The sequence below is a fragment of the Homo sapiens genome, chromosome 16 (genome assembly GCF_000001405.40).
Source record: "Homo sapiens chromosome 16, GRCh38.p14 Primary Assembly".
Classification (NCBI taxonomy): Eukaryota; Metazoa; Chordata; class Mammalia; order Primates; family Hominidae; genus Homo; species Homo sapiens.
The window spans coordinates 11616421-11631386 of NC_000016.10; the positions used below are offsets into that span (position 1 = coordinate 11616421).

A 14966-nucleotide genomic window follows, 5' to 3' on the forward strand; every position below is an offset into this window, starting at 1 on the left:
GAGCTACGATTGTGCCACTGCACTCCAGCCATGGGTGACAGGGTGAGACCCTGTCTCAACAAAACAAAACAAGAAAAAAAAAAAGAAAAAGAAAGGGGCTTATGATGAATAACAAAAGATGTACCTCTCATCTTTGCCACTCAGGAAATTACGAGGACCTTAGAAGCTCTGTCAGGTACGTGAGGCAAAGACCAAATACATATTTCCTATTGTATCACAATATCACAGGCTACCCTCTGGCCTTTGAACACAAATCCCTTACAGTCAGATGATCATAAACATCAAAAGATGCCCGGAGTGGGCAACATAGGAAGACCCCATCTCTACAAAAATTCTTAAAAATTTACCGGGCATAGTGGTGCACACGTGTGGTCCCAACTACTCAGGAGGCTGAGGCAGGAGGATCACCTGAGCCCAAGAGGTTGAGGCTGCAGTGAGCTGTGACTGAGCTACTTAACTCCAACCTGGGAAAGAGAGCAAGACTCTATCTCAAAAAAAAAAAAAAAAAAAAGATGCCAGCAGGGCGCAGTGGCTCACATCTGTAATCCCAACACTTTGGGAGGCCGAGGCAGGCAGATCACCTGAGGTCAGGAGTTCGAGACCAGCCTGGTCAACATGGTGAAACCCCATCTCTACTAAAAATACAAAAATTTGCCAGGCGTGGTGGTGCAAGCCTGTGGTCCCAGCTACTTGAGAGGCTGAGGCAGGAGGATCGCTTGAACCCGGGAGGCAGTAGTTGCAGTGAGCCGAGCTCACACGAATACACTTCAACCTGGGTGACAGAGCGAGACTCCAACTCAAAAAAATAAATAAATAGAAATAAAAAAGATGCCAGCACATTGCTAAAATCCATCAGTCCTTAATAACGATACAGTCCGCCATCCCATGAAATGTATGAAAATGTCCCCCAGGGTAAGGCTGCCCAGGCTTGCAGGCTTCCATTCTGTCTTATCAAGTTCTGAAAGCAGGGGCAGTCCCAGCAATATATCAATATATGGCTTCACTCTTTTTTTTTTTTTTTTTTTTTTTTGAGTCGGAGCCTTGCTCTGTTGCCCAGGCTGGAGTGGAGTGGCACAACTCACTGCAACTTCTGCCTCCCGGGTTCAAGGGATTCTCTTGCCTCAGCCTCCCAAGTAGCTGGGACTACAGGCTCACACCACCACGCCCAGCTAATTTTTGTATTTTTAGTAGAGACGGGGTTTCACCATATTGGCCAGACTGGTCTCGAACTCCTGACCTTGTCATCCGCCCGCCTCGGCCTCCCAAAATGCTGGGATTACAGGGGTGAGTCACCGTGCCTGGCCTATATGGTTTCAATCTTTCAGGCATCTGGTATAACTGAGCCAAGGGACAACGCCATCTCTTGATCTAAGCCTCTTTGAAGGTGTTAATGTAATATTAAATTTCCTTCCCTCCGTAACCTATTTATTTATTTATTCATTCATTCATTTATTCATTTTATGTATTTGAGACAGGGTCTCACTCTGTCACACAGGCTGGAATGTAGCAGCTCGAACATAGCTCACTGCAGCCTCAACCCCCTGAGATCAAACGATCCTCCCACCTCAGCCTCCCAAGCAGCTGGGACTACAGGTGCATGCCACCACAACCAGCTTCCAAAAAAATTTTTTTGTTCGAAGAGATGGGGTCTCACTATGTTGCCCAAGCTGGTCTCAAACTCCTGGGCTCAAGTGATCCTCCCCAGTCAGCTACTGGGATTACAGGCGTGAGCCACTGCACCTGGCCATAACCCATTTATTTATTCTGTCTTTTACCTCCAGCTATTTTTGTTTCTTCTCTCCATTTATGCCCAAACTTTTCCCCCTTGGAAGAGACATTCCGTTCTGCCACTGTGCTGGTCTAGATTGCAGGCAGAAATACTAGTCTAGCAGGTGCCTCCCCTGGCAAGGCGGGAGGAGAGCCCTGAATTTGTAATCAGCCAGGCAGAAGTAGGGGTAGCCTGGGGACGCCATTTGCACTGGTGTCTGAAGTGGGAGCAGTCCTGTGGGACTGAGTCCTTTGACCGTGCAGTCTGCACTAACTGTGGGCAGCTTCTGTCGGAACTGAATTGAATTGCTGGCCATGCAGCTGGTGTCAGAGAATCTGGAGAGCGTGCTTGATGGGCTCCCCGGGCTTTCGCTGTGTGCGATGGGCTAATAGCAAGATAGTTTCTCTCTGGCCATGGAGCCACTGGCCATTGTCCCCGCCTCCCAGTGGGTGGAGCATTTCTGGGGGTGGGGAGGGGGCGCTTCATAGAGCTGCAAATTAAAAACCCCCGCACTGGCCGGCCGCGGGGGCTCACACCTGTAATCCCAGCACTTTAGGAGACCGAGGCGGGCGGATCACGAGGTCAGGAGTTCGAGTTCAGCCTGGCTAACATGGTGAAACCCTGTCTCTACTAAAAATACGAAAGTTAGCCGGGCGTGGTGGTGGGTGCCTGTAATCCCAGCTACTCAGGAGGCTGAGGCAGGAGAATCGCGTGAACCTGGGAGGTGGAGGTTGCAGTGAGCCGAGATTACGCCACTGCACTCCAGCCTGGGCAACAGAGCTAGACTCGGTCTTAAAAAAAAAACAAAACAAACAAACAAACAAAAAAAACCCCAGCACTGCCCGGGCACGGTGGCTTACGCCTGTAATCCCAGCACTTTGGGAGGCCAAGGCAGGCAGGTCACTTGAGGTCAGGAGTTCGAGACCAGCCTGGCCAACATGGCAAAACCCCTTCTCTACTAAAAATACAAAATTTAGCTTGGTGTGGTGGCGCTTGCCTGTAATCCCAGCTACTTGGGATGCTGAGGGAGGAGAGTCGTTTGAACCTGGGAGGAAGAGGTTGCAGTGAGCCGAGATCACATCACTGTACTCCAGACTGGGTGACAAAGCAAGACTTCGTCTCAAAAACAAAAAACAAAAAAAAAAACCCCAGCACTGCTGGGCTCAGAGGACACATCTCCACATGGCATGATGAGGCAAAGACCAGTGCCCCAAAGGCCCCAAATGTCATGTGACCCATGTGCACTTCACCCTGTGGCAAGAAGCTGCCAACTCAGCCCTCTTCAGGGGTCATGCAAGAGACAGAAACAGGAGAAGCAAGCTGAGTATAATTATTACAGCCACAGGGCATTCTTGGCTTATATTCTACTTTCCCACTTTGTTTTTGTTTTTTTTTTTGGAGACAGTCTCAGTCTATTGACCAGGCTGGAGTGCAGTGGTATGATCATAGCTCACTGCAGTGTTGACTTCCTGGGCTCAAACCACCATCCTGCCTCAGCTTCCTGAGCAGCTGGAACCACAGGTGCATGCCACCACATCTGGTTAATTTTTTAAAATTTTTCTTTTGTAGAGGCGTCATCCTGCTATGTTGCCCAGGCTGGTCTTCAACTCCTGGCCTCAAGCGATCCTCCCACCTTGGCCTCTGATATAGTTTGAATATTTGTCCCAGACCACATCTCACGTTGAAATGTAATCTGCGGACGGGTGCAGTGGCTCATGCCTGTAATCCCAGCACTTTGGGAGGCCGAGAGCAGTGGATCACCTGAGGTCAGGAGTTGGAGACCAGCCTGGCCAATATGGTGAAACCCTATCTCTACTAAAAATACAAAAATTAGCCAGGTGTGGTGGCGGGTGCCTGTAATCCCAGCTACTTGGGAGGCTGAGGCAGGGAGATTGCTGGAACCTGGGAGGCAGAGGCTGCAGAGAGCCGAGATGGCACCACTGCACTCCAGCCTAGAGGACAGAGTGAGAGTCCGTCTCAAAAAAAAAAAAAAAAGAAAAGAAAAGAAAAAGAAAAGTAATCCTCCACAATGTTGGAGGTGGGGCCTGGTGGGAGGTGTTTGGATCATGGAAGCGGATCCCCCATGATTGGCTTGGGCCATCCCCTTGCTGATGAGTGAGCTCTCACTCTGAGTTCATGGGAGATCTGATTGTTTAAAAGACTGTGGCCCTCCTCCCAACACTATCTCTTGCTCCTGTTTTCGCCGTGGGACATGCCTGTTCCCCCTTCGCCTTCCACCATGACTATAAGCTTCCTGAGGCCTCCCCAGAAGCTGAACAGATGCCAGCACCATACTTCCTGTACAGCCTGCAGAACCATGAGCCCAGTAAACCTCATTTCTTTATAAATTACCCAGTCACAGGTATGTTTTTACAGCAATGCAAGAATGCCTAAAACAGCCTCCCAAAGCACTGGGATTACAGACGTGAGCCACTGTGGCCAGCCCACTTTCCCACTATTGAAGGTGATATGGAAAAAATAGGTCATTTCTATTCTGTGAAAGAATCAGCAGCACAAGTATGATGATATTAGGAACTTATTCTCAGCCTGTGGTCAGGGAGACAGACAATAGGGAGTGGTGGGGACTGTGACAAACTGAAGGGCAAGGCCCCATGTAACAGGTGCAGCGGGCACTGTCATGGCCCTGCCCACATCTCCCTCAGCAGCTGCTGCTCCAGGACATGTCAACACTGCACACTGGGCTCGCCATTTGTGACTTTCTATTTTGAGATGGTCTCGCTCTGTTGCCCAGGCTGGAGTGCAGTGGTGCCATCATGGCTTACTGCAGCCTCAACTTTCTGGGCTCAGGTGATCCTGCCACCTCAGTCTCCTGAGTAGCTGGGACTACAGGCGCACTCCACCACACCCAGTTAATTTTTTTTTTTTTTGAGATGGAGTTTCGCTCTTGTTGCCCAGCCTGGAGTGCAATGGCAGTGCGCGATCTCGGCTCACCGCAACCTCCGCCTCCCAGGTTCAAGTGATTCTCCTGCCTTAGCCTCCAGAGTAGCTGGGATTATAGGCATGTGCCACCACGCCCAACTAATTTTGTATTTTTAGTAGGGACAGGATTTCTCCATGTTGGTCAGGCTGGTCTCGAACTCCCGACCTCAGGTGATCTGCCCACCTCGGCCTCCCAAAGTGCTGGGATTATAGGCATGAGCCACTGCACCCAGCCCCAGCCAATTTTTATATGTTTTGCAGAGATGGGGTCTTGCTATGTAGCCCAGGCTGGTCTTTAACTCCTGGGTTCTAGCCATCCTTCTGCCTCAGCCTCCCAAAGTGCTGGGATTACAGGCATGAGCCACCGCTCCTGGCCCACCCATGACTTTCTACTTGAAGTTTTCTTCTTGGCCTATGTGCAGAACAGACTGGTATTAACCCCCCTCAGAAGCAGGCCTCCATCAAGGATAGACAGGAGTCAGAAGGGAACATCCCAGCCCCCTTGCCCCTCAGGAAGCACAACCCACGTTCTACACAGCTCCCCTGAATTCCCCGGCAGGATGCAGCCCCAGGTGCCCACAAGAGTGGCCGGCTCCCTGACACCTTGTAGTGTGTGTTGATTCTTTCCCTGCCCCGACTCTCTTCCCAACTGCTTGTGCTTCCTGAGATCCCCTCCCTAGTAAACCACTGGCACCCAGATCCTAAGATCCTGCTCTCAGAGCTCCGGGGCAATGCAAACTAAGATAAGAAACCAGCTCCTACGTTGCTGCAGCCCATTTCTTCTGGGTGGGAAGGCAAGACCTTCCCATTTTTTTCAAAAGAAACCAAGATCCAAAGTTTCTCGTGAAACCTTCTGAGGGTTCATTGCCAGCTCAAATTAAACAATGCAAAACAAAATGAAACAAAACACGTCTGCAGGCCCGCTCCAGCCCTTGGCCTTCCCAGTTCAGAGCTGTCGGTGGCTGATGAGGGTGGAGGCAGTGGGGATGTGGTTAGAGAGTGTGTTTGGGGGACCCGCCCTGGCAGCCTGGTGGGGACAGCTCAGAGGAGGTGCCACCATAAGCCAGGCGGCATGGCTTGCTCATGAGACCCCAGCTGGAAGCATCTGGACCGCCTGGCACGGCCACCCTCGGGCTGTCAAGAGACCCAGAGTAAACAGCCTGAACGCTTTCCCAAACACACAGACCCCAAGCCGCCTGCGGCCTCCCCCTGCTCCCTGGGTGGGGAGATATCCCAAGACCCCTCTGCCTGCCTGACATCTGAGCTCAGGCCCAGGAAAAACAAACCCCGGATGGCTGGAGAGCCCCCGGGAAGAGGCAGCAATCACGGGAGAGCCACTTGCAGACCGCACACTTGTGAACTTCATTTTAATTCTGTGCAGATGGAGGAGGCTGTCTGTGCAGATTTCCACCTCCCTACACAACCCCCTTCTTTCCTCTTGCAGAGAAAACAAAAACGGTGTCTCTCGAGATTGCTTTTGCACCGTTTAACAGGGTTATTTAAAGCCATTGCTTTTCTGCTGTCTTTTCAGAATGTAAATTAAGAATACAAGGTGTCGTGAAGGATACTGGAGGGGTAGGTGGTGATGTGAAATTTCAGTTCTGTGTGTTTATTGTTCTGAACCACCTAAACCCACCCATGCCTGCTCTAAACTGTGGAATATGCTTAGTGGATGTTAAGTTGGAGCTACATTCACTGAAGGGAAAGAAATTTCTGAGAACAGACCTTTCATGGGCCTCTGTGAAACAGGTATTTCGTATATCATTAGTTCATTTAATCGTCATCATGACCCAATTAGTTGTATAGTTTCATATAATGAATATATATATATATATATATATATAATTTTTTTTTTGAAACAGAGTCTCGCTCTGTCGCCCAGGCTGGTGCAGTGGCGTGATCTCGGCTCACTGCAAGCTCCGCCTCCTGGGTTCATGTCATTCTTTTGCCTCAGTCAACTGAGTAGCTGGGACTACAGGCGCCCACCACCACGCCCGGCTAATTTTTGTATTTTTAGTAGAGACGGGTTTCACTGTGTTAGCCAGGATGGTCTCGATCTCCTGACCTTGTGATCCACCTGCCTCAGCCTCCCAAAGTGCTGGGATTACAGGCATGAGCCACCGCGCCCGGCCGAATATATTTTTTAGATAGCAAAGGGAATTTATTTGCTCATATAGTTGGAAAGTCTGTGGTAAGGACTTCAGGCATGGCTGAATCCAGGAGCACAAATGCCATCATCAAGAATCTCTCAGGCTGGGCGTGGTGGCTCACACCTGTAACCCCAGCACTTTGGGAGGCCGAGGCGGACAGATTACGAGGTCAGGAGTTCGAAACCAGCCCGGCCAGCATGGTGAAACCCCATCTCTACTAAAGATACAAAAATTAGCCAGGCAAGGTGGCGCATGACTGTAGTCTCAGCTACTCAGGAGGCTAAGGCAGGAGAATCGCTTGAACCCAGGAGGCAGAGGTTGTGGTGAGCTGAGATCACAACCTTGCACTCTAGCCTGGGTGACAGAGCGAAACTTTGTCTCAAAAAAAAAAAAGGATCTCTCTCTTGGCCAAGTATGGTGGCTCACCCCTGTAATCCCAGGACTTTGGAAGGTCGAGGTGGGCAGATTACCTGAGGTCAGGAGTTCGAGACCAGCCTGGCCAACACGGTGAAACCCCGTCTCTACTAAAAATACAAAAATTACCTGGGCATGGTGGCAGGCGCCTGTAATCCCAGCTACTTGGGAGGCTGAGGCAGGAGAATCTCTTGAGCCCGGGAGGCAGAGGTTGCAATGAGCCAAGATCGTGCCATTGCACTCCAGCCTGGGTGACAAGAGCAAAACTCCATCTCAAAAAAAATTTTTTTAAAAGAAGAATCACTCTCTTGGCCAGATGTGATGGCTCACACTTGTAATCCCAGTACTTTGGGAGGCCAAGGCAGGAGGATCACTTAAGCTCAGGAGATCAAGACCAGCCTGGGCAACATAGTAAGACCCCATTTCTACCAAAAATAAATAAATAAATAAATAATTTCTCTCTCTCCGTCTCTTGCCTCTGCTCTCCTCTGTGATTGTATCATTCATTATCAGGTAGGCCTTTCCCTCAGAGGGGTAAAGAGGGCCCCCAGCAGTTCCAGCCTTATCCCCAACCAACTAAACATTTTTGGTGGAAAGAGAATATTTTCCAATAGTTCCAGCTAAACTCCCACGGTTGAATCTCACTGGTCCGGTGTGGGTCACGTGCCCATCCTCTGGTCAATCTCTATGGTTACAGCAATAGAATTCATGATAACAAGCCCCTCCCTGGAGTCTGAGACTGTCAGCCTCACTAGAATAGAAATGGAAATAGGTAGTTACTATCCTCAGAAGGAGCCCTAGATGCTGACATTCAAAAATAACAAATGCCTACCACAGTGGGGCATGTGAGAAGAATAGGTGAGTTCTATGACATCTTGCACAGCAAGGCTGCCGTGACAGTTGCACAGGTTGTGCACTGCACATCTCTACAGGGTCTCCATTTATATTCACTATCACCCTATGTTTACAGATTTATCATGATAAATTTCCAACAGACTGCAGTTAAACATCTTCAGGAAGGGAAGTGTGATCGACTGAAAATGAAAAACATGGTCGCAGTATTTTGCAACTCTTCCTGTCAAGAGGTAGAGTCTATTTCCTTACCCCTCAAATCTGGGTGGCCTCGAGACTTGCTTTGACCAATAGAATATGGTAGAAGTGACTCTACAAATTTTGAGGCTAAGACTTAAGAGGCTTAGTTTCCACTCTGACCCTCCTGGCGTGCTGCCTGAGACTGCCCGATAAGACTACCCCATAAGAAGGCAAACAGCCCCCAGGAGGGTGAGAGGTCACGTGAAGGAGACCCAAGGTGCCCCAACCAACCAGCTCTGGACTGGAGGACCCAGGAAGGTGAGACAAACTGCTGGGTGAACTGTGCTGTGCCAACTCATTGAAGCTGAGAACTCAATTTCCCAGAATTTCCTCCCCATGTGGTTCTGGTTAGAGATGACCAAAAGAGGAACATGAGTGAAATTTGGAGAGTGGAGACAAAGCAGTGGCCGTGACTCTCTGAAGGTCACTGTGGTCCGGTGTGATGGTGGGTGGTGTCTCCCGAGATCACCTCCCAAAAACCTTTTTTTTTTTTTTTGAGACAGGGTCTCGCTCTGTCACCCAGGCTGGAATGCAGTAGTGCGATCTCGGCTCACTGCAGCCTCTGCCTCCTAGGCTTAAGCAATCCTCCCACATCAGCCTCCTGAGTAGCTGGGACTACAGGCACGTACCACCATGCCAGGCTCATTTACGCATTTTTAGTGGAGACAGGGTTTCGCCATGTTGCCTAGGCTGGTCTCCAACTCCTGGGCTCAAGCAATCTGCCCATCTCCGCCTCCCAAAGTGCTGAGATTACAGGTGTGAGCCACTGTGCCTGGCTCCAGATAAATTACTTGCACCCAAATTTCTGTCTCAGCATCAGCCTCTGGGGGAACCAAGTCTAAGACAGGCTTCTTAAGAAACCCTGAGTTCCCCTAGGTTGTGTGCTGAAGGAATGCAGTGACAGAAATCAGAGCAGAAAGAGATCAACCTTCCCTTTTAATCTTTCATTTATTCATTCATTTTACAGTCAGTGAGTCCCTGCTGTGTGCCCGCGCTGGAGACAGAAAGAGCCCAGAACTTGGAGTCAGCCAGGCTAGTTCTAACTCCAGCCCTGAGACACAGACAAGTCCCCCTAAGCTCTTGGAGCCTCATCTGATCCTCACAATGGTCCTACGAGGCAGAAAACCTCATGACCCCAGTGCCCATGAGGAAATGGAAGCACAGAGAGGTTGGGTGACCTGCCTAAGGCCACACAGCTGAACAGTGGCAGAACCAGGATTTGAACCTGGGAGTCAATTCCAGATCCCATGCGCTTAGTAAATTTCTCAGGAGTTCCAGAGACTGGGCTGATTGATGAAAGTTCCAGAATTTAGGACTTGTTCCAATAAATGGTATGAATTAGTTCCCCTATGTTTGTGAGAAAGATCCCACTACTTTACTTTAAAAAAACAAAACGAACAAAAAAAAAAACTTCTTTTTATACAGTGAGTCAGAGTCTTGCTGGAGTGCAGTGGTACAATCTCAGCTCACTGCAACCTCTGCCTCCCAGGTTCAGGCAATTCTCCTGCCTCAGCCTCCCAAGCAGCTGGGACTACAGGCTCATACCACCATGCTCTGCTAATTTTTGTAATTTTTTTTTAAGACAGTCTTGCTCTGTTGCCCAGGCTGGAGTGCAGTGGTGCAATCTCAGCTCACTGCAACCTCTGCCTCCTGGGTTCAAGGGATTCTTCTGCCTCAGCCTCCTGACTAGCTGGGACTACAGGCAGGCATCACCATGCCTGGTTAATTTTTGTATTTGTAGAGACCAATTTCACCATATTGGCCAGGCTGGTCTCCAACTCCTGACCTCATGATCTGCTGGCCTCGGCCTCCCAAAGTGCTGGGATTACAGGCGTGAGCCACCGCGCCCAGCCTGTAATTTTTTTTTAGTAGAGACGGGGTTTTACCATGTTGGCCAGGCTGGTCTCGAACTCCCACCCTCAGGTGATCCGCCCACCTTGGCCTCCCAAAGTGCTAGGATTACAGGCGTGAGCCACCTTGCCCGGCCTTTTAAAACATTTCAAGCTCTACTAGGTCCACTATATTTTTATTTAATGTGCTACTGGTGAAAATTTATTTCTTCTTTTTTTTGTTTTTTTTTGAAATGGAGTCTCTGTCGCTCAGGATGGAGTGCAGTGGCACGATCTTGGCTCACTGCAGCCTCTACCTCCCGGGCTCAGGTGATCCTCCCACCGCAGCCTCCCAAGTGGCTGAGACTACAGGCACGCACCACCATGCCTGGCTAAACAAGCTTCTTCCAGTCTGATCCCATCCCCCTAGGAACCCGGGTGTGGACGGCCTCTCTTACCTTTGCTGCAGACGCGTCCCTCCTTCCTAGCCCCAGGGGCTGTGTCATGCACATGACCAAGCCTGGCCAGTGGCTACCCAGCATCTCCTGAGCCTCAGTGATTGCTCCAGTAATGGGCATGTGACCCAAGCCAAGCCAATGACAATCAACCCCAAGACCCTTGCTGGAGCTCCTTGAATAAGACGAATTCTTTACAAGGCTGGTGAGATGAAAACCCGGAGCTGCCCAGCACCATCTTTGCCAGCAGGTAGAGCAAGCCCACTGGAGAATGAAGCCAACACAGAGAACAGCCAGGCTTGGAGTTGGAGACAGATCCCTGACAGCATGGTCTGAGCTTCTGGATCCAGCCAGGCCTGAAGCTCTTGCCCTCCCCACTTCCCAGTGACACAATACATTCTGCAATGGCATAAACCAGTTCCAGTGGGATTCTGGTTTTTGCAGCATTCTGCTATTCATCCTGACTAATGTATTAGACTTAAAAAAATACAAGGCCTGGGAGTGGCGGCTCACGCCTGTAATCCCAGCATTTTGGAAGGCCGAGGTGGGCAGATCACCTGAGGTCAGCAGTTCGAGACCAGCCTGGCCGACATGGCAAAACCCCATCTCTACTAAAAATACAAAAATTAGCCAGGTGTGGTGGTGCACGCCTGTAGCCCCAGCTACTCTGGAGGCTGACGCAGGAGAATGGCTTGCATCCGGGAGGCAGAGGTTGCAGTGAGCCGAGATTGTGCCACTGTGCTCCAGCCTGGGTAACAGAGCAAGACTCAATATCAAAAAATAAATAAAAATACAAAAATTAGCCGGGCGTGGTACCACACATCTGTAGTCCCAGCTACTCGGGAGGCCGAGGCAGGAAAATCATTTGAACCCAGGAGGCGGAGGTTGCAGTGAGATTGCGTCACTGCACTCCAGCCTGAGCGACAGAGTGAGACTCTGTCAAAAAAAAAAAAAAAAAAAAAAAACAAGGCCTGTAATTCTCCATTGGCCCAAGACAAGCACAGTCCTGCAGAACACAAAGACACATTTGCTCCTTGAAAGATTCACAGGAAGGGAAAAATATTTCCCATTCTGTGGTAATGAATCAATACCCAAATAAGACCTGGTTCGTTTCTCAAGCAGGTAATCCTGCCCAACAGCCATGACTCATCCCAGCCCCAACCAGCCCTGAGGTTGGTGTGGCCCCAGATAACTCGCTAAACTTGGGGCCGCCCCAGATTTTCCATGTTTGCGTGTCTCCTCTCCTTTCTCTTCCAGCTAAGAGTCCTGGGAACTCTTTCTAGAGTTCCAAGTAAACGCTTTGCAGAACGCCCAACCCAGATCAACACCCAGTAGATGCTCTCAGAGCACAAGGAGACATCCGGAGATCTTGCTTTTACCGAAAGTATCCAATGAAAGGGAAAAAACAAAGTTGGTCTTGACCCTTTCTATTTTTTTATTTTTTTGTTTCTTTTAGTCAAGATCTTGCTCTGTTGCCCGGGCTGGAGTGCAGTGGCACGATCATAGCTCACTTCAGCCTCAAACTCCTAGGGTCAAGGGATCTTCCCGCCTTAGCCTCCAAGTAGCTGGGATTACAGGTGTGTGCCACCACGGCTGGCTAATATTTTTTCTTTTCTTTTTTTTTTTGAAACTGAGTCTTGCTCTGTCATCCAGGCTGGAGTACAGTGGCGTGTTCTCAGCTCACTGCAACCTCCATCTCCCGGGTTCCAGTGATCCTCCTGCCTCAGCATTCCTAGTAGCTGGGATTTCAGGCGCACACCACCATGCCCAGCTAATTTTTGTATTTTAGTAGAGATGGAGTTTCGCCATATTGGCCAGGCTGGTCTCGAACTCCTGACCTCAAGTGATCTGCCCGCCTTGGCCTCCCAAAGTGCTGGGATTATAGGCGTGAGCCATTGCTCCCAGCCTATTTTAGTTTTTTTAGAGACTGGCATCTCACTATGTTGCCCAGGCTGGCCTTGAACTCCTGGCCTCAAGTAATCCTCCCGCCTCGCCCTTCCGAAGTGCTGGGATTACAGGCATAAGCCACGGCACTCAGGCTTGCCCCCTCTTACCAAGTGCTGGGATGGCACCCAGGACCTCAGCAGCAAAGGGAGCCTAACAGGCATCAGATGAGGAAGGCTCAGAAGGCTGAGCGCAGGGAAGGAGCCTCTGTCCGCAGGACACCGAGGACTTTGGGGAAGGCACTCAGCCGGGAAGTCAGACATGACCTCATCCTAGTTGAGGTTCCGTAGAAGCAGAGCCTGTGATGGAGATGTGGGTGCATGTGGTTTTCTAGAAGTGAGGGTTCTCAGAAGAGGGGAGTAAGGAGACAAGGTGCAGGAGGAAGAACAGCAGACAGGTCCCAGCTGGAGGCCTGATCCCAAGGCAGGCCTGAAGTAAGAGTTTTCTGAGTCAGTCCCACCAGGAGGCAAGGGGGCCCTGCTGAGGACCTGTCCTCGGCCAGTCGGTCCTTCTGGGGTCCCTCTGGGCTGCCAAGAAGGGTGGGTGAGGGGTGGGAAACACAGCTGTGAGCAGTCAGCGGCCACACTCGAAGCAGCCGGCTCCTTCCTTCCTCTTCTTGGCTGCACACCTGCTTTTGGGGAAGGAGCTCATGGACTGGTTGCAGCTGGGGTGGGAAGAATTAAACAGACACTGCTGAGCTCAGTGCTTGAGGGCCCAGGGCTTCGGAGGCAGAGGCAGCCAGTTTCGAATCATGATTCTGGGTTGACTCAAGTCTCCAGCGTGGAGCTCCAGGGGCGCGCAGCTCATGGAGTGCGGTACGGATTAACAAGGCCATGTGGTAGGCGCTCTTCCCCCCACAGCCTGGCGCATGGCAAGTGCTCAACAAATCATGGCTCTGCAAACATCTCCAAGTGTCACAGGCCTGGCTGCTACGGTGGGAGATTTAACATCAGTCGCCAGGTGTTGGGGAGGGAAGAGAAGGAGTTCGGGTGCCTTCCTGGACTCATTCCAGCACCCACAGGTGCTCAGCGCACTTCTATCTGGGTCAGGTTTTGCTCCTTCTCATCAAGTGCAAGGCGGGCACACAGGACCCCGGAAGAACGGAGGTCATGGGAGTCCAGATAGGAACCAGACCCCTGGCGTTGGGGGGGCTCCAAACCTCTGTGTTTGGGAGTCCTGGCTTCCCCAACTTCCCCTCCTAGCCTCAGCCCCTATGGATGGAAAAGTACCCCCAGCTGGCATGACTGATCGATTGGTTTGGGGCACAAAGCTGGGTCCTCTCTGAGGAGCAACTTGGCAGGAGGTGCCCGCAGTCTGGCCTTGGCCACAGTGCTACTTTGAAACTGCTTTAAACTCGCCAATGATGTCCTAAAGCCCTGATGACAAATCCCAGCCTCCCGCAGGCCCTGCTCTGGCGGGGACACCTCTTGGGCCTCATTGCAAACCACACAACCCTCCTCCTGTGCCCCGCCTGCTCCAGGCACACAGGAGTCCCTGTTGCTCCACAGCTTCAGGTCTCTCTGGCGGCAGTGCCTTCCCCTACCTGCCCCTGGCCAACTTTTTTTTTTTTTTTTTTTTGGTGGTGAGACAGGGTCTCATTCTGTCACCTAGGCTGGAGTGCAGTGGTGAGATCAAAGCTCACTGCAGCCTCAAACTCCTGGGCTCAAACAATCCTCCCACCTCAGCTTCCTAGATAGCTGGGACTACAGGCACCCACCACCACGTCCAGATAATGTTTTTATTTTATTTTTTTTCTAGAGACAGGGGTCGGGGTGGTCTCACTATGTTGGCCAGGCTGGTCTTGAACTCCTGGCCTCAAAATGATCCTCCCGCCTCAGCCTCCCAAAGTGCTAAGATCACAGGCATGGGCCACGGTGCCCGGCCTGCCATTACCTTTGATGCATGGACAAGAGGTAGCCTCCCATGCATAGCAGTAGCCACGATAACAGCAGTCATTTCTGTTTGCACCCAACTCATCTAAGCACTGTCTGCTTATTTTTGATATTATTTTCCCTGTTTACATTTGCAGAAACCGAGGCTTAACAAGGTTAAAGTCACCTGCCCATAGCGTGTGGTGGACTTGGGATTTGGACTCAGGGCTGCAGAAAATAAATAACCAGGTCGCCATGGGGTAAGTGCACTGCAGGAGAAGCTGCTTACAAGTGAGCTATCGGTGTCCTGTGGCTGCAATTATCACATCACCACAAACTGAGGCGCTTAAAACAGCAATGTATTCTCTGTTCTAGAGTCTAAAAGCTTGAAATCAAAATGTCATCAGGACCACCTCCCCCTGGAGGATCTAGGGAGGGTCCTCTCTTGCTTCTTTCAGCTTCTGGTGGCTCCAGGCATCCCGGGGCTGGGGGCTGCAACACTC

The 14966-nt window shown here is 50.7% G+C and overlaps 1 protein-coding gene across 5 annotated transcripts in view, besides 3 other annotated features; it reads right to left on the bottom strand.

Moving 5' to 3' along the window:
* Positions 1 to 14966, bottom strand: part of LITAF (lipopolysaccharide induced TNF factor) — a 92596-nt gene that overhangs the window by 68699 nt on the left and 8931 nt on the right. The window lies entirely within an intron of this gene.
* Positions 5579 to 6347: an enhancer, noted in NCBI's record as "H3K27ac-H3K4me1 hESC enhancer chr16:11715855-11716623 (GRCh37/hg19 assembly coordinates)". NCBI's record gives its function as "activates a minimal SCP1, AML or CMV promoter by ChIP-STARR-seq in naive and primed H9 embryonic stem cells {active_cell/tissue: H9 hESC(naive and primed)}" and the evidence as "EXISTENCE:reporter gene assay evidence [ECO:0000049][PMID:30033119]".
* Positions 5796 to 6085: an enhancer, noted in NCBI's record as "active region_10454". NCBI's record gives its function as "activates an Ori minimal core promoter by ATAC-STARR-seq in GM12878 lymphoblastoid cells {active_cell/tissue: GM12878}" and the evidence as "EXISTENCE:reporter gene assay evidence [ECO:0000049][PMID:35858748]".
* Positions 10664 to 11198: an enhancer, noted in NCBI's record as "H3K27ac-H3K4me1 hESC enhancer chr16:11720940-11721474 (GRCh37/hg19 assembly coordinates)". NCBI's record gives its function as "activates a minimal SCP1, AML or CMV promoter by ChIP-STARR-seq in naive H9 embryonic stem cells {active_cell/tissue: H9 hESC(naive)}" and the evidence as "EXISTENCE:reporter gene assay evidence [ECO:0000049][PMID:30033119]".